The sequence below is a fragment of the Homo sapiens genome, chromosome 8 (assembly GCF_000001405.40).
Source record: "Homo sapiens chromosome 8, GRCh38.p14 Primary Assembly".
Classification (NCBI taxonomy): domain Eukaryota; kingdom Metazoa; phylum Chordata; class Mammalia; order Primates; family Hominidae; genus Homo; species Homo sapiens.
Window position 1 is genome coordinate 125,252,351 of NC_000008.11, and position 18,781 is coordinate 125,271,131.

General features: G+C 41.9%; 1 protein-coding gene and 1 pseudogene across 14 annotated transcripts in view; both read left to right on the forward strand.

Moving 5' to 3' along the window:
- NSMCE2 (NSE2 SUMO ligase component of SMC5/6 complex) overlaps positions 1-18,781 on the forward strand; it is a 275,261-nt gene that overhangs the window by 160,491 nt on the left and 95,989 nt on the right. The gene's annotated exons all lie outside the window — the stretch shown is intronic.
- Positions 18,254-18,552, forward strand: RN7SL329P (RNA, 7SL, cytoplasmic 329, pseudogene; annotated as a pseudogene).

The window sequence follows — 18,781 nt, forward strand, 5'->3', positions numbered from 1 at the left end:
ACCCTGTCTCTACTAAAAATACAAAAATTAGCTGGATGTGGTGGTGGGTGCCTGTAGTCCCAGCTACTCGGGAGGCGAGACAGGAGAATGGCGTGAACCCAGGAGGCGGAGCTCGCAGTGAGCTGAGATCCCGCCACTGCACTCCAGCCTGGGCGACAGAGCGAGACTCTGTCTCAAAAAAAAGAGAAAAACCCTGTTTCATCAGTATTAAGATTTATATTTTCTTGCATTTGACTATCTCAAAAATTGGCATGTGTCTTATTATCAATGAGGTCTTGTAATTGGCAGTACACAAATTAGTAGTACATAAATGGGACATCTTATAACTGAAGGAATATTTTAATCTGGTAGTTGATGGTTTAAAAATCAATCATGCTTATCCATTTCTAAATTATTTTAGAATGAAAGCATACCTTTAACTTGTATAAGTCTATTTAAGCAGTGCATAGATTAGATTAAATGAATGGTTATCTGTTAGATGGGTAGTTCCGGAGTTAAGAGCGCAAGCTCCGGAAAGAGCCAAGGTTATTTAAAGTGTCCTCACCTACCAGCTGAGTCCTTTGGGTGAAACTCTTTACTCCCTTAAGCCTAAATTTTCTTACCTATAGAACACAGATTAAAAGTCTCTATTTCTTAAGATTGTTGTAAGGATTAAATGATATAGTACATGTAAAGTACTTAGCACTGTGCCTGGCAAATGGTAAGCTCTCAGTCAATGATAGGCATTCTCATGATTTCCGATTGGAAAGAAATTGGTGCCCTTCCCATCCTACCCCAGGGTACTGCCATTTCTCTTTAAGTAAAGCTAGATTATATCTGAAATAGGCAAATATGGAAGTTTATATACACTTAAGGGAGCTACCTGTTCCCTTCTCTTGAAGGATATTAAACTGTGGTATTTGCTAGAGAATTTGAATTAGCAGGTGTATGTAGATTCTGAGCCTTTTTTGTGCTCAGCTCAAAGCCTTGACCATGCTGAATACATAACAAAGTACTGATTGATAATGTTTAACCCCTAGGGGCAGGCTTTCTTTTCGCCCTGAGCAAAAAAGATGCAATCTTTGTGGATGGGTGTTTGGGGAATTCCTGCAATATACCTTAGATGCAGAGTTTCGGGTGGAGTTTTGTTTTTATGTTTGTTTGTTTTGTTTTGTTTTGACTTTCCATTTTCCACTTTAACTGTGATCCATTCCAGGGGATTTTGTAGTTTCTCAGATGTTATACTGGATGAAAAGTAGTAACTGCATAAACATTAGTTTGAGAATACAGATAATGTTATAAATCTTCATCTTGGTTTGTATTGTAAAGGCAGCATCTCATGTGACTTATCTTTATATGGAATTGCTAAATTAGTATTGTGCCTTTCCTCCAGAAAGCTTAAAATGAAGTCGTATAGGCAGCCTGATTTAAAAGATAATTACTATTCCATTTCCTAAATGTTCTACCATGCAAGAAGAATTTGGAGGAAAAAGAAAAAGTTTATTCCTTTGGGGAAAATTAATTTTACTTTGTCTTGGTAAAATGCTACCACATATGCAGTTAAATGACAATTCCCCCTCCAAAAAAAATTTTTTGGCAGTCATAGTCATCATGACTTCTCCTATAAGATTATCCTAGTGTTCAGGATGCTTCTCAAAAGGCCTAGAAGATAACAAATATTTGTCTAAGTGTGTTTCTAAGGGCTGTAACTAAGCATCTCTCTTAATTCAGCAAACTACCTTTTTTTATTCAGTCAAAATTTACCTTTTAAATTAGGCTTGTAATTTGATTTTCATTGGTATCAAAGAATTCTCTTTTGACTCCAATATTACATTTAATAATTCAAACTCTAATATCTCTATTGAAACACTCTGTGTTTCAGTCGTGTTTGAAGATGTCTAAAAACAAAAGTCTTTTGCATTTTTCATATTCTATTTAATGGCTGGATGCATGTCAGTGCATAGGATTTGAGTCATTAGTGTGCCACAAAACATTTTACCAAGAAATGGTGCGTCATCAAATAGTTGAATTACAATGGTAGCTGTAAACGGGACCCAATTTACAAAAGTAAATAGTGTCCCCTTTTACAAGAAAGAAAATTAACCATGCTCATTCAGATTCTGAAGTTTAATTAGCTTTAACTTGCTAAAAGAAAGAAATTGAACAAGTAAATAGCATGTACTTCACCATATATAGCAAATCCTGAATCACTGCCATTTTTTATATAACTGACCCACATGGGTTCTTTGCTTTTTCTTTTATCTGTTTACCTCAGATTTTTTTTTTTTAATAAAGGACTATAATTTGATTGGCTTGTAAATTCTTCCCATTTCTAACATGCTATAAGACTTTAAGCCTAATTTCCTTTGAGCCTTAATCCTCTTGCTAATTGATGTGACTGAGTTGTCTGGAATCAACCTCCTTGGTGCAAATGACTGAGACTGTGACGTTCTATGGAAGCAGTTTGGTCCGGGAATGAATCCTTTCATTCAGCAAACAAATGCCATGCCAGCTGAGTCCTGAAAGAGCTCATGGGCACGTAAAGGAATATAGTTGTTTTACAACATGTCCCCCAAAATTATTTGACACTCTTCTCATTAGCAAGTGGGACTCTGCCCCTTCCACTTGGATCTGAGCTCTGTAACTGCCTGCCAATAGAATATGGCAGAAATGACGCATTGTATCAGTTTCTGGGCCCAGACCTTAAGAACCTAGCAGCGTCCACTTCCTGTCTCCTTGTATGCTCACTCTTGGAACCCAGCTACCATGCTGTGATGAAGCCTAAAGACCCAAGCAGAGAGGAACCAACTTGTCAGCTGTATGAATGAGCCATCTTGGAGGTGGATTCTCCAGTTCCAGGAGAGCTGCCCCAGTTAATGCTACATGAAACAGAGACAAGTCATCAGTCATCCATCCCCACTGTGCCCTTTCCAAGTTTGTGAGCAAAATAAATGACTGTTGAGTTAAGCCATAGAGTTTAGGAATGATTTGTTGCTGGAACAAGGAGGTAGACACATAAACAATTTTGAAGCAATGTAGATTACAATGACAGTGATATTTACTACGTATCACAGGAACACTGAGTCGAGACACCTAATCCTTCCTTCATCATCAAGGAAGACTCCCTCAATGAATGAGATGGCAACTGAACTGAATCTCAGGTTAACCAGGTTGGAGAATAAAGGGTGGCGTGTTCTAGGCAGAGGGGACAACAGTGTGATCACAAGCAGAGAGGAAGGAAACAACATGGTGTGCAGAAGGAATTATGAGCACTTAGGTGTTGCTGGAGCTTAAAGCTGGAATAGGAAGTACTAATTATGTAGCCAGAGATAATTGGCAAAGGTTGAATCATGAAGGCCCGTGTTTGCCAGGTGAAGACATATTGTGTACACACAGCTTGTTATTTTCATTATTGTTGTATTGCATTTTGGATTGAAGCTGTCTGATCAGGTTTGTGTTTTAGACAAATCCTTCTATCAGCAGTGGGGAAGGTGGATTTCAGGGTATGAATTCTGAAGCATGAAGACCAGTCAGATGGCCGTTGCAGCAGTTCAGGCAAGGACAATGAGGCCTAAATTAAGACTGCGAGGGTGAGGATGGGGAAGAGAAACTAGAGTCAAGAAATAGGTGGTTTTAAAAAGAAGTATTTAGAGGGTAAAAAGAATACTAACTGGCCGGATGTGGTGGCTCACGCCTGTAATCCCAGCACTTTGGGAGGCTGAGGCAGGTGGATCACAAGGTCAAGAGATCAAGACCATCCTGGCCAACATGGTGAAATCCCTGTCTCTACTAAAAATACAAAAATTAGCTGGGCATGGTGGCGTGCACCTGTAGTCCCAGCTACTCAGGAGGCTGAGGCAAGAGAATCACTTGAACCTGGGAGGCGGAGGTTGCAGTGAGCTGAGATTGCACCACTGCACTCCAGCTTGGGGACAGAGTGAGACTCCGTCTCAAAAAAAAAAAAAAAAACTAACTGATTATAGGGAGGAAAGAGACAGTGAAAGAGGACCCTCAGATTTCTAAGTTAGGTGAAAGCTAGATGCCAGTGCCACCAGAAGGGAGTGAGGGGGAATATAAGGAGGAGGATAATGCAGGGGCAAAGCTAGAGAGTACAGCTTTGACGTGCTGGATATGTAAAGTCTCTGGCATCCATGTAGCGATGTCAGTGAGGCAGTTGGAAATACATGTCAAAAATTAAAGGAGATTTAAGCTGTAAGAAAAGATTTGGCAGCCATTGTCACAAAATTGCTAGCTGAAATTATGCATAGACAAGCTCACCCAGGGGAAGAATGTTCAGTTAAAAAAGAAGAGGACTGTTGGGTGCGGTGGCTCACGCCTGTAATCCCAGCACTTTGGGAGGCCGAGGCGGGTGGATCATGAGGTCAGGAGATCGGGACCATCCTGGCTAACATGGTGAAACCCTGTCTCTATTAAAAATACAAAAAATCAGCTGGGCGTGGTGGCACATGCCTGTAGTCCCAGCTACTAGGGGAGGCTGAGGCAGGCGAATTGCTTGAACCTGGGAAGTGGTTGCAGTGAGTCGAGATTGTGCCACTGCACTCCAGCCTGGGCGACAAAGCAAGACTCTGTGTCAAAAAAAAAAAAAAAAAAAAAAAAAAAAAAAAAAAAAGAGGGCTGAAGGTGAAACTCTGGGAGCACCCTGACATGTAGAAGTTAGTTAAAGGAGTCCGGGCCTGTAATCGCAGCGCTTTGGGAAACCTAAGCGGGCAGATCACTTGAGGTCAGGAGTTCGAGGCCAGGCTGGCCAACATGGTGAAGCCCCATCTCTACTAAAAATACAAAAATTAGTCAGGCGTGGTGGCACGTGCCTGTAATCCCAGCTATTTGGGAGGCTGAGGCAGGAGAATCACTTGAACCCAGAAGGCAGAGGTTGCAGTGAGCTGAGATTGTGTCACTGCACTCCAACCTAGGCGACAGAGCAAGGCTCCATCTCAAAAAAGAAAAAAAAAAAAAGACATTTAAAGGAAAATGTGCCCACAAAAGAGATGGGAAAAGAATGATCCAAGAAGTTCCAGGAGAACCAAGAAGGAGGAGTCATCTCAGAAACCAAAGTCAGAGAGTTGAAAAAGGGGGTAATCTCCTGTGTCAAATGTAAACAGTCAGTCCAGTAAGATAAGGATTGAGGAAGGGTCATTGGTAACTTTTGCCAAGCTGGACAAAACCAAATTTCTCTTTTTTTTTTTTTTTTTTTTTTTTTTTCTGAGACGGAGTCTCGCTCTGTCGCCCAGGCTGGAGTGCAGTGGCGCGATCTCAGCTCACTGCAAGCTCCGCCTCCCGGGTTCACGCCATTCTCCTGCCTCAGCCTCCCGAGTAGCTGGGACTACAGGCGCTCACCACCATGCCTGTCGAATTTTTTTGTATTTTTAGTAGAAACGGGGTTTCATTGTGTTAGCCAGGATGGTCTCGATCTCCTGACTTCATTATCCGCCCTCTTCGGCCTCCCAAAGTCCTGGGATTACAGGCGTGAGCCACCGTGCCCGGCCAGACAAAACCAAATGTCAATGGATAAGTGCATGGAAAGTAAGAAAATAGACACCAATGGTACAGCCAAGGCAATGAAGAGTAGCTAGAGAAGAACACAGGAGCATGAGAGGGTGGTGGTGGTGGTTTTGGAGAGATGGAAAATACGTAAATACTTTTATGACCCAAATAGCTCATGCCATTAAAGGGAGGAGATTGAAGAGAGAAGAAAAAGAAGATGTGATTCATGTAGTAGCATCTATTCAGAGATAGAAGGGCAGAGAGTCAAGGGCAGTCTTTTGGGATACAGTAAGTGTGGGTATAGATGTAAATAGTTTTATAAGAGTAGGGCAGGAGATTGAAGATTAAAGCTGATGGACTTAATTTTTTTCTGTGAAACAGGAGATAAGTTTGTTCACTGAGGGAATGAGTATAGCAGGGATTGATAGCTGTGTTAAAGACAGTGGTGAGTCTTAGAGTAGTCTTTTAAGAAAATGGAAACAAGGGCTAGCTCACAAGAGGCAAGAAGGATTGATAGGTGACCCAGAGGTCCAGTTGACTTTGGAGATTATGGTCTTATACTAGTAATCTGCACAGTTTAGGGCTTTTATTCAAGGGAATGCCCCACCCCTATCCCATTCACCCCCGCTCCCCCCACCCCACTTTCCTGGCTCCCCTGAGTGAGGGAGAATGGGCAAGCCTCCATAGGAAAGCAGCCTCAGCCTGGACAAAAGCAAAGTTTTGTTTAAGACAACAGATGGAGCATTCTGTGTGCAACTGGAGGATGGCTTGTTTTGTTTTTTATAATGGCATGAGGGTTCTAGAAAGTAAAATAATAGGAAAGATTAGAAGGGACTCAAGAATGAGAAAAGCCACAGATAAGAAAACACAGAGGAGTAAGAGGATGAGGGTAATGGAGAGAGGTGGGGGGGTTATGGGAGTGGCAATGTGATTTGCTTCTTATTTAGTCGCCAGAGGTTAGTTGAAGGAAAGACTTGGTTGGAAGCTATTGCCTGACATTTCCTTGGTACAAGACATTGTGGTCACACAACTGACCAGTGGTCCTTAGCAGTTTCTGGCCTGCTCACAGAGCTTTGTTTTCTGTTTTTGAGACAGAGTTTTGCTCTTGTTGCCCAGGCTGTAGTGCAATGGCACGATCTCGGCTCACTGCAACCTCCGCCTCTTGGGTTCAAGCGATTCTCCTGCCTCAGCCTCCCAAGTAGCTGGGATTACAGGCATGCACTATCACACCCGGCTAATTTTATATTTTTAGTAGAGACGGGGTTTCTCCATATTGGTCAGGCTGGTCTTGAACTCCCGACTCAGGTGATCCGCCCACTTCATGCTGGGATTACAGGTGTGAGCCACTGTACCTGGCCTACTCACAGAGCTTTTAAAGAGAAAGTGAGAGTCCTGTGCCAGACAGAGATGGGCTCCTGAGTGAACTCTGCCAGCCCCAGAGTTTGCAGTAGAGCAGGAGTCCCCAGTCGGTGGCCTGTTAGGAACTGGGCCGCACAGCAGGAGGTGAGCAGCCCACAAGCGAGCATTACCACCTGAGCTCCACTTTCTGTCAGATCAGCGGTGGCATTAGATTCTGATAGAAGCATGAGCCCTATTGGTTGTGCACTCCTTATGAAAATCTAACTAATGCCTGATGATCTAAGGTGGAACAGTTTCATCCAGAAACCATCGTCGTGTCCTCCCTACCCCTGCCCCCACCACACCCCAGTCTGTGACAAATTGTCTTCCATGAAACCGGCCCCTGGCACCAAAAGTTGGAGACAACTGCAGTAGCGTACTTGCTTGAGTTATCCCATAGAGTTGTGGAACAGCAACATCTTACCCTGTGGCCTACTCTTGTTATTGCAGTACCCACAAATTTAACAGTAGTAATCATAATATAAACAATAGCTTATATTTATATGGCTTTATGTTTATTAAATGTTGGTTTCAACAACTCTAAAACAGGGTAGGTAATGTTATCTCATTCATAGGTCAGAAAGCCTGAATCTCAGAGGGTAAGGTCATACTGCTAATAAATGGATGAAATAAAAATAGAAATCAGATCTTCTGACTTCTAGCTCTTTTCAGCTATGCCACACTGCAGTTTTGGAGCTGGAAACTGCATTGGGCTCATGTAATCCAACCTCTTCTCTTATAGATGAAGCAACCGAGGCAGCAGCCTGGTGAAACAAAAAGAAAGCAGATATTGCAGGCTGGATATTCTGGGATAAATATTTTATTTAAAAATCTTTTAATGTTCCAGAAAGGTTCAGTAACTTTCTAGTGGCCACAGTCAGTGTCGAAGCCAGAGCTGGAACACACCCTACTACACGACTCTTGGGATTGGGTTTCAAATCAAGAAATGTGGGAGGACATATCTCTGATGAGTCAGAATAGTGGAAGGGAGTGGCCCCGGAATGTGACTACCTGGAAGAATCTAGTTCCTTAGGCTAAGTCACTAGTGTTAGCCCAGTATAAAAATGTGTTTTTCAGAATGGAATCAGGAGGGTAAAATTAAAGATGAAATCATCTGAATAGCAGTTCTCTACCAAGACAGCACTTTAGCTAAAGGATGATTACAGTGTAGGGCGGTTCATTTTGATTCACTGGGGCTATATCTCTATACTTTCGTGTGTGGTAGTTGCTTTCCCCACTAGATCTGGGTTCTAGCCCTCCCTGCTGGCTCCCTCACTTAGTGGACGTTGAACCTTTCACTTTCCTTCTCGGGGCCTGAGTTTCCTCAATAAAAAGAATTTGGATCTAGGTGGCCGTCTTCTTTGTGGTTTAATTCCCTAATTTCATTTCATTTATTTATTTATTTTCTTTTTTGAGATGGAGTCTTGCTCTGTTACCCAGGCTGGAGTGCAGTGATGTGGTCTCAGCTCACTGCAACCTCCACCTCCCAGGTTCAAGTGATTCTCATGCCTTAGCCTCCCGAGTAGCTGGGATTACAGGTGTGCACCACCACACCCAGCTAATTTTGTATTTTTAGTAGAGGTGAGGTTTCACCATGTTGGCCAGGCTGATCTTTAACTCCTGACCTCAGGTGATCCACCTGCCTTGGCCTCTCAAAGTGCTAGGATTACAGGCATGAGCCATCATGCCTGGCCAAATTTCTTAATTTCAGATATACCCTATGGCACAGATATTTTAAGGCAAAACATAGGTATATTATGCCATACATAAGTGTATTGGATGAAGCTGACAGAGAAAAGTATATAATCATTCTGAGAAAAGAAGCCTCGATATTTACATTTCGGTGAAAAGGGGGAGAAAATTACTGTTTTGCGAATCAACCAAAGTACTCCATAGTCATTACAGAAGCATGTACTTACCTGTAATTTTTTGTGGAATTGTTCAAAGTTTATTGTTTAACACTTATTGACAATCACTATTATGCTGGATACTATGGGAGCAAGTTTATGCAAGCTAATCCCCTGCTGTGTTAATCTAGGGAAAGAATGGAACAGTGATCAAATTTGCAAGGTTAGAAATGCTAAAGCTCTTGCTTTCTGTCAGAAAACTCCAGCTAGGTATTCAAATTTAGTCGAGATCCAATATCAGAAAGCCTTTATTATTTATTGAAGCATCTGCTCTTTCTACTTTTTCCATTTGGCTTCTGTGCTCTGTGGTTACTATTCTCAGGTAATTGGGGGTATGACTTCAGTCACTTTTGAAATATTGGGAACTAAATTCTCTCATTGGAGATTCAGCACACTTCAGGCATTTTAATAAAACTCTAGTATCTTGAATTCTGGAAATTTAATTAATATACTTACACTTTGAATTTTTTCTTGCCTGAACCATTACACATTTTTACAGAACAAATATTTAATCCTTAAGATTTCATAACCAAGGGATTTAAAGATTAGCTTTGAAAATAGGTCAGGGAAAATATCCACTTTGGTTAAAAGCTAATCATGTAAAGAAGTAAAAAAAAAAAAACAAAAACAAAACAGCTTAGAAGCTTTTGAAAAACATTTTTAAAAATCAATTGTATTGGCTAGGCACAGTGGCTCACGTCTGTAATCCCAGCACTTTGGGAGGCCAGCATGGTCAGATCACCTGAGGTCAGGAGTTCAAGACCGTCCTCGCCAACACAGCAAAACCCTATTTCTACTAAAAATAGAAAAATTAGCCAGGTGTGGTGGCGCACACCTGTCATCTCAATTACTCGGGAAGCTGAGACAGGAAAATCACTGGAACCCAGGAGGTGGAGGTTGCAGTGAATTGAGATTGCACCGCTGCACTCCAGCCTGGGTGACAGGGTGAGACTCTGTCTCAAAATAAAATAAAATAAAATAAAATAAAATATAAAATAAATTGTATAGGCCGGGTGCGATGGCTCACACCTGTAATCCCAGCACTTTGGGAGGCTGAGGCAGGTGGATCGCAAGGTCAGGAGATTGAGACCATCCTGGCTAACATGGTGAAACCCCGTCTCTACTAAAAATACAAAAAATTAGCCGGGCGTGGTGGCAGGTGCCTATAGTCCCAGCTACTTGGGAGACTGAGGCAGGAAATGGCATGGACCTGGGAGGCAGAGCTTGCAGTGAGCAGAGATCGCGCCACTGCATTCCAGCCTGGGAGACAGAGTGAGACTCCCTCTCAAAAAATAAATAAATAAATAGTATACAATTTTGTGAAAGTATATGAGTCAAACTTTCCTTTAGTTTGCCATTCATTCATTCATCCATTTATTAGTATTCATCCATTTATTGTTCATTCATTCATGCACCAAAAATTGTTCTAGACACTAGGGTAGCAAGAATAAATAAGACAGTCAGAGCTTACTATGTGCCAGGCACTTTGAAATTTGGAGCTCAATGCTTTTAGCTCCACAATCTGGTGTCATGGTGTAAGCATTACACTGGAAGTCTAGTTTTTTTTTCTAAAAACTCACTGGTAGGCTGTGTGGCTTTAGGTGAGACCCATTCTGTGTTAGTTTCCTCCTCTCTGCAGTGGTATTGCTCACTCTGTTTACTTCGTAGCTTTGATGTCAGAATCAAATGAAATGGTGGTTTTGAAAGAGCTTTGGAAGTCCCAGGTGTTATATAAAGCAAGTAGTATTCTTGTAAATGTGGCAGTGGTTTTGACCATTTCAGTGCCTCCGCGAAAAAAGGTTGAAGATGAGTATCTTTATATTGTTCTCTTGAACTAGATCTATATGTTTATGCTGGTCAGTCTTACCATTTCCTCCACTTCCTGTGCAGGCGACAGGGACCTCATAATGAGGTAGCTGGGGGAATGATAACTATAGTGAATGAAACTCATTTAGAAAATATTATTCAATTTACACATTGCATTAAATCAGCAAGTAATGATTAAGTGCTCAGATTAAGGGAGCAGAGAGAGAGATAAGGTAGGAGATGGCATCTGTCTTCAAGCAGCCTAGACTTGGATTTGAAAATTCAAAGCGATTGAATATAAATCATTACCTAATTGCCATTTCCCAGGGATCTATGTAGGTATGTCAGTTTGGTTCTATAATGTTTGTAAGGGTCCTCTCTTAGACGTTGGAATACTCAGTTATACCTGCTGGCTCATGGAACAGGTGTTCTTAGGAAGAAACTAGAAGGTTACTTCTAGCTTCATGTTAATTTTACTGCTGGATCCTAGGTTTACCATGTTCATGCTCTAGAAAGAAGTAAGAGGGCTGGGCGTGGTGGCTCATGCCTGTAATCCCAATACTTTGGGAGACCAAGGTGGGCAGATCACCTGAGGTCAGGAGTTTGAGACCAGCGTTGCCAACATGGTGAAACCCTGTCTCTACTAAAATACAAAAAATTAGCTGGGCATGGTAGCACGCGCCTATAATCCCAGCTACTCTGGAGGTTGAGGCAGGACAATCTCTTGAACCCGGGAGGCAGAGGTTGCAGTGAGCCGAGATCATGGCACTGCACACCAGCCTCCGTGACAGAGCGAGACTCCATCTCAAAAAAAAACAAAAAAAAAAAGAAGAGGCCTGATATGACCTAGAATAAATTTAATCTGGGACTAACTCAGGAATCCCTCTCAAATATCAGCTCTAGCGTGTAAAGAGAGATTTTTGTGTTTTACTCACTGCTGTCTCCCCATTGCCTAGAACAATTCCTAACACCTGGTACTCACTGAAAATGTTTTAAATGAATGAAAGCTGCAGTCCCCTGTTTAGAGTTTTTCTACTGTTCTCATGTCTCAGATAGATGGCTCCTTGAAGACAAGGACTATACATTATGAATCTTCAGATTTCCCATGTCTGGCACATAACTGGCCCTCTGAATTTTCTCCAACGAACATAGAGACAAGTGTAATCCAGGTCCATGAGGGAGTCTCTCCCTAGAGTAAGCCCTAAAAGCAGTAGATGTGCTTGTTCCCAGGGAGTCTGAGGCATAGCCCAAAGTGGACTGTCATGAGTGTGAATTTCATTGACATTTCTTTTTTAATCTTAGCATTTCTGTTTATTTTTGAGTTTGTACTTCATTCATATTCCTTTAAAAAGGTTATAACCCTCAACAGGATGGAGAACATATGCCTTATGTATATCCTCTGTGGAGTCCCATTCATGCCTGTCACTCTCAGCAGCGCCTGTCCCAGGACAGGGCAGGCTGTTCTTGTTTTTTCCTTTTTTTGAAATGGAGTCTCTCTCTGTTGCCCAGGCTGGAATGCAATGGCGCGAGCTCGGCTTACTGCAGTCTCTGCCTCCTGGGTTGAAACAATTCTCATTCCTCGGCCTCCTGAGTACCTGGGACCATCTGCGCGCACCACCACGCCCTGCTAATTTTTGTATTTTTAGTAGAGATGGGGTGTTTCACCATGTTGGCCAGGCTGGTCTCAAACTCCTGACCTCAGGTGATCAGGGTGGGCTGTTCTTGAAGCTACTTCAGAACCGTGTAAGAGCTGAAAGACCCAGAGAAAATTATCACAGGGTAGGAGAGAAAAGTAGGACAATTCGCCAGACTCATTTTCTGGGAGTTTTCTTATACCATCTTGCAGCCTCATTAACTCTTCCAACTCTTTATAAAATAATAATACTGAAAAATGGCCTTATATCTTCTAGTACCTTGACACATGCAAATATCTCATTTAATCTTCACAACAACCCTGGGAATGTGGCTTTTGTTTTGTTTTTATTGTTAGTACTATACAAATGAGAAATCTCAAACCAGGAGCAGGCTGAAACTAGGGTGAGAGTCCTCACCTCAGGCACAAAACTTAAGGGGATGCCAAAAACTCAGTAATCAAGTAATATTTTATGTAGTATCTTAAAAATTAAAGTTTATATACAGTTCAACAGGGCCAGGATTAAGGAGAGGCAAGTGAAGTGAATTATGCCAGCTGCAAGGTTGGATCCTGGCTTTATTTAATTTTTTTTTGGTAGTTCATGAATTTTTTGCATTAACTTTGTTATTATTATTATCATTACTTTTTTTTTTTTTTCTTTTTGAAACGGAGTTTCACTCTTGTTGCCCAGGCTGGAGTACAACGGCAAGATCTTGGCTCACTGCAACCTCCACCTCCCAGGTTCAAGCGATTTTCCTACCTCAGCCTCCCAAGTAGCTGGGATTACAGGCATGCACCACTGTGCCCGGCTGATTTTATATTTTTTGAAGAGACAGGAGTTCTCCGTGTTGGTCAGGCTGGTCTCGAACTCCTGACCTCAGGTGATCCACCCATGTCGGCCTCCAAAAGTGCTGGGATTACAAGCATGAGCCACTGCACCTAGTCTTTTGCATTAACTTTGGTTTTTAAATTATTGCGTTAAAATGCTGCTATCTTTATTCAGTTTTTTGTTTTTTGTACCCTCTTAAATTTTGCCTCTCAGGCAGGTGGCCGCCTTACTTTACCCTAGTCCGTGCCTTGCCTTAGAGATTTAATTCTGTAGGTCATATGACTTGTAAGAAGCAGAGCCTGTGTTAGAACCAAGACTTCTGACTCCAAATCATATGCTCTTCTCATCATACCACATAGCCACTTAAAATGCCTAGTTTTCTTTGTCTCTGAACATCTATTGATCCTTAGTTGTTTTTTAAATTTTCTCAGACTTGTAGGCCCCATTATTTGAGAATGACTTTCATGGTTCCTTTTGACCTTTCTGTACTTTTTTTTCCTGTAAATGTGTATCATGAACCCTCTATTACTTTAAGTTATTTGATTTGTAAGCATTTCTGGATGAATTGTCTCTCAAGGGCACACTTCAAAATAGTTGCCTTACTTAGAACAAAATCCTGTGACCCGAATAAAGAACACATGAATATAGCTAACCCTGTGTGAGCTTGCGGGGCAGGTCAAATTTTTTCTTTTTTTTTTTTTTTTTGAGATGGAGTTTTGCTCTTGTTGCCCAGGCTGGAGTGCAATGCGCGATCTCCGCTCACCGCAACCTCCGCCTCCCAGGTTCAAGAGATTCTCCTGCCTCGGCCTCCCGAGTAGTTGGGATTACAGGCATGTGCCACCACGCCCGGCTAATTTTGTGTTTTTAGTAGAGATGGGGTTTCTCCATGTTGGTCAGGCTGAGGTCTATTTTTTAAACCCCATCAAACTGTAGAATGAAATAGTGGTTAGAAAAGCAACTATGAATTCAGTGGCATGTCTTATAAAGTCAGAATTCCTACAGACTTTACTCTTTAGTGAAGTTTCTTGAATAATGAAAATAGTTCATAACAAGAACAAACACAATTAACACTGTCTGTATTCACCTTCTGGTGGGGGAAGTGCATCAGACTATATGAAGGCATAAATCACCTTTTTCTGTTAGGATTTTGTTTTATACAATGTATTATCAATTTGTCCTGCTATATAGTTGGAGAGAATAGAATGCTGTCTCCAACTGATCATTTTCCTTATAGTTGACCTTACTCCTGAATAAGGTTCAGGCTTTCATGAGAATTTCAGATCCAGTATACCTGTTGGGGATGAATAGCAAAAGAAAGTACTAGGAGTTTGGGATTAGAAATAGAAGATAAAAGAGCAATAATAGACTTGTGTTTCCTTGCAATTCAGGCTTAGTAAAGGAAGTCGGAGGCAAGGAAACTTAGACCTTCAAATTGTACTCCAGTGTCTGTTAAAGAGGAAGAAGGAGAGATGTTCAGAATCACTATGTCCTTGGGAATATCACAGGACAAAAACTTTATTTATAAATAAAGGTAATCTGAACATTTGGTTTGAGCATCAGGCACAGAAGCAGAAAAGCATAACTTTTCTTTTTTCTTTCTTTTTTTTTTTTTTTTTTTGAGACAGAGTCTTGCTCTGTCTCCCAGGCAGTAGTGCAATGGCATGATATTGGCCTACTGCAACCTGTACCTCCTGGGTTCAAGCAATTCTCTTGCCTCAGCCTCCCAAGTAACTGGATTATATATAGGCACGCACTGCCACGCCCGGTTAATTTTTGTATTTTTAGTAGAGACAGGGTTTCACCGTGTTGGCCAGGCTGGTCTCAAACTCCTGACCTCAGTTGATCTGCCTGCCTCGGCCTTCCAAATGCTAGGATTACAGGCCTGAGCCACCGCGCCCAGCCAAGGGTACCTTTTCTAAATATATGTTCTCTTTATTGGTTTACTTTAGTGAGACAAATATGTGTAAAGGCTTTCGTTTGTATGTATTTTTATGTGAGAAGTAAGGCTAGACAGTGAGGACCAAATGTGAGAAGTAAGGCTAGACAGTCAGGACCAAACTGCTAAAGGAGTTGAATGCTACGCTAAGAAATCAGTACTTTGCCAGGCATGGTGGCTTACACCTATGATCCTAGCACTTTGGAAGGCTGAGGCGGGAGGATCACTTCAGCTCAGGAATTCAGGATCAACCTGGGCAACATAGGGAGGCCTGTCTACAAAACAATTAACCAAGTGTGGCTGTGCACACCTGTAGTCCCAGCTACTTGAGAGCCTGCGGTTGGGAGGATAACTTGAGCCCAGGAGGTTGAGGCTGCAGTGAGCCAAGATCGTGCCACTGCATTCTAGCCTGGGTGAAGAGCGAGACTCTGTCTCAAAAAATAGTAATCGGTACTTTATCTAATAGGTCATGTTGAATTATAGAAGACTTCTGAGTGAGAGATGGCCTCATCAAACTCATTTTTCAAAAAGTTTAATCTGGTGGAATTAGGAAGGAAAGAGAAAGCAGAGAGAGTACTTATCCATGCGTAAAAACAAGTATTTTTTGGCTGGGTGTGGTGGCTCACAACTATAATCCCAGCACTTTGGGAAGCTGAGGTGGGAGGATCCCTGGAGGCCAGGAGTTTGAGACCAGCCTGGGCAGCACAGTGAAACCCTCATCTCTATTTAAAAAAAAAAAAAAAAATTAACTGGGCATGATGGTGCCACCTGTAGTTTCAGCTACTCCAGAGGCTGAGGTGGAAGGATTTTTTGAGCCTGGGAGGTCGAGGCTGCGGTGAACCATGATCACACCACTGCACTCCAGCCTGGGCAACAAAGCAAGATGCTGTCTCAAGGAAGAAAAAAAAAAAGTATTTTTTGAGAAGGTCAACATTTGGTTAGTGAAATTAGAAAGGAAAGGAAAGTTGTGACGTATGTGGCAAAGGAAATTGACATTGTCACTGGCACTTCTGTTGGTCGTTTGAAGGAGAAAGAAGTTAAAAAAAAGAGAAAAGGATCCCAAGGTTTTATCATGGGCTGCCTAGAGAATGATCACTCCATTAACAACAACAACAACAAGCAAAAAGAACTATTTGGAGAATAAAGGAAAAGATGGTATATTTCATTTTAAACATTTCTTTGAAGCAGTGGTGTGATGAGTAATTAAAATATTCCTTAGGTTGTTGGGGATGCAGACCTGGAATCAGAGAGAAAAATCAGGGCTAAAAATGAAATATTTAGAAATTGCATATCCAAATTTAATGTTAATGTTTCAGCAGAAACAAAAGAGAGAGCTGAGATGCACATACACCCATTGCCTAGAAAGAGAAAGAGATGCCCTGGGAGGAATGGCCTGAGATGGAGGAGGTGTAAGATCCCATAGCAGTGCATGAGCCAAGAGAGGAAGTAATTTTAGGAAGAGTGGTATGGCCAGCAGTGCCAGAGCCTGCAGATCAAAACTCATGAGTAATCATAGGAGTAGTCTTGAGCTTAGAAAATACAAATTGAGATCTTGGAGGAGCAAGAGTATCAAAAAGTAGGAATTTTAAAATTTGGCAGGTATTGGGGAAGAGATCATGACTTTTTAAAAAATATATTGTTTAGTTTCTTGATTCTCTTTTTTATTCCACAAAATATGAACTCATGCATAGCTATCTTTGCTTATTACCCAAAATGGATTAAGATATATTTGACTCTTTAACTTTGTTTTTTGTTTGTTTTTTTGAGACAGAGTCCCACTCTGTCACCCAGGCTGGAGTGCAAGTGACACGATCTCGACTCACTTCAACCTCCTCCTCCTGGGTTCCAGTGATTCTCTTGCCTTAGCCTCCCATGTAGCTGGGACTATATGCACGTGCCACCACACTTGGCTAATTTTTGTATTTTTAGTAAAGACAGGGTTTCATCATGTTGACAGGCTGGTCTTGAACTCCTGACCTCAAGTGATCACCTTCCTCCGCCTCCCAAAGTGCTGGGATTACAGGCTTGAGCCACTGCACCCAGCCGACTCTTTAACTGAGTAAAAGAAGCTGGTTCATATATGGCTGATTTGGTCTTTGAAATACTGTTTAACTTTGTATCTATGGAGCAAAACCATGCCACTATAAAATGACACTCCTCTGTATTCTGCTCACTGCTTGATCAATTTATTTCCTGTGCTCATCATGGCTTGGATGAAGAGAAGTTTTTTACAGCAGGGGTCTGATGAATGTGAACATTCAATGATCATAGCTTTCTACAAGATCATTAAGATCCTTGTTTTATGCTTTGAGTATTTGCCTCTTGGCAATAGTTCATGGAATCTGATTAAACCTATAAGCTTGGAAAGCAAATCGTTTAAGTCTGTGTTGCAGAGGATAACTTACTTCACATGAATCTCAATAATAGGTCATCCTGAATCAGTCATCATCAATAGTTAACAACATCTATCAAGTTAATTGCTCAAGAGCCTTTTACCAAGCTGAGAGTGTAACAAAGTAAGCTAAACATAACTTGTTAACTTGTCCTCTGGAAGCCTTCATTCAGTCAGTCATCCATTTATAATTTATTGATTACGTATGTACTTTATGCAAGGCTGAACTAAAGGACAAGCACGGCCCTTATGGTTCTTTAGGACTAGTCTCTTTACAAATAATGAGAATTTCAATACAGTCTTGCAACTGTAGTAGCAATAAGCATAAGGAGCTATAAGAAGAGAGAGAGTGTAGCTAGAATATAAGGAGAGAGGTAAAAAATGAAGTTGGAGACAGTATACAGGAGATAGATTATGAACATCCTTATATGACTTACTAAAGAATCTGAAAGGTCCAGGTGCGGTGACTCATGCCTGTAATCCCAGCACTTTGGGAGGCCAAGGCAGGAGGATCATTTCAGGTCAGGAGTTCGAGACCACCCTGGGCAACATGCTGAACCTCTGTCTACTAAAAATACAAAACTTAGCGGGGCATGGTGGCAGGCACCTGTAAACCCAGCTACTCGGGAGGCTAAGACATGAGAATCACTTGAACCCAGGAGGTGGAGGTTGCAGTGAGCCGAGATCGCACCACTGCACTCTGGCCTGGGTGACAGAGCGAGACTGTGTCTCAAAGCAAAAAACAAAACAAGACGAAAAACAGAATCTGAATGTTATCCTGAAGGCAATGGCATGTGTTGAATTGCTTTAAATAGAAGCAAGTTATGATCAGCAGTGTGTTATATCCTGGGTAGGGTAAAAGATAGGCCTAGCTGGATGCAGTGGTGCATACCTGTAGTCCCAGCAACTCAGTAGGTTGAGATGGGAGGATCGCTTGAGGCCGGCAATTCTGGGCTACAGTACAGTATGCTGATCGAGTGTCCACACTAAGTTCAGCATCAATATGGTGACCCCTCAGGAGCAGGGAACCACCAGGTTGCCTAAGGAGGGGTGAACGGGCCCAGGTTGAAAATGGAGCAGGTCAAAACTTCCGTGCTGATGAGTAATGAGATCACACTTGTGAACAGCCACTGCACGCCAACCAGGGCAACATAGTGAGACACCATCTCTTAGAAAAAAGAAAAAAAAGAATAAATGTAAGTGGGAGGGAAAAGTGGAGGCAGGGAAGTCAGTATAAGACTACTCTAGGCCAGGAGTGGTGGCTCATGCCTATAATCCCAGCACTTTGGGAGGCCGAGGCAGGTGGATCACGAGGTCAGGAGTTCAAGACCAGCCTGAACAACATAGTGAGACCCCGTTTCTACTAAAAAACACAAAATTTTGCCAGGCATGGTGGTGC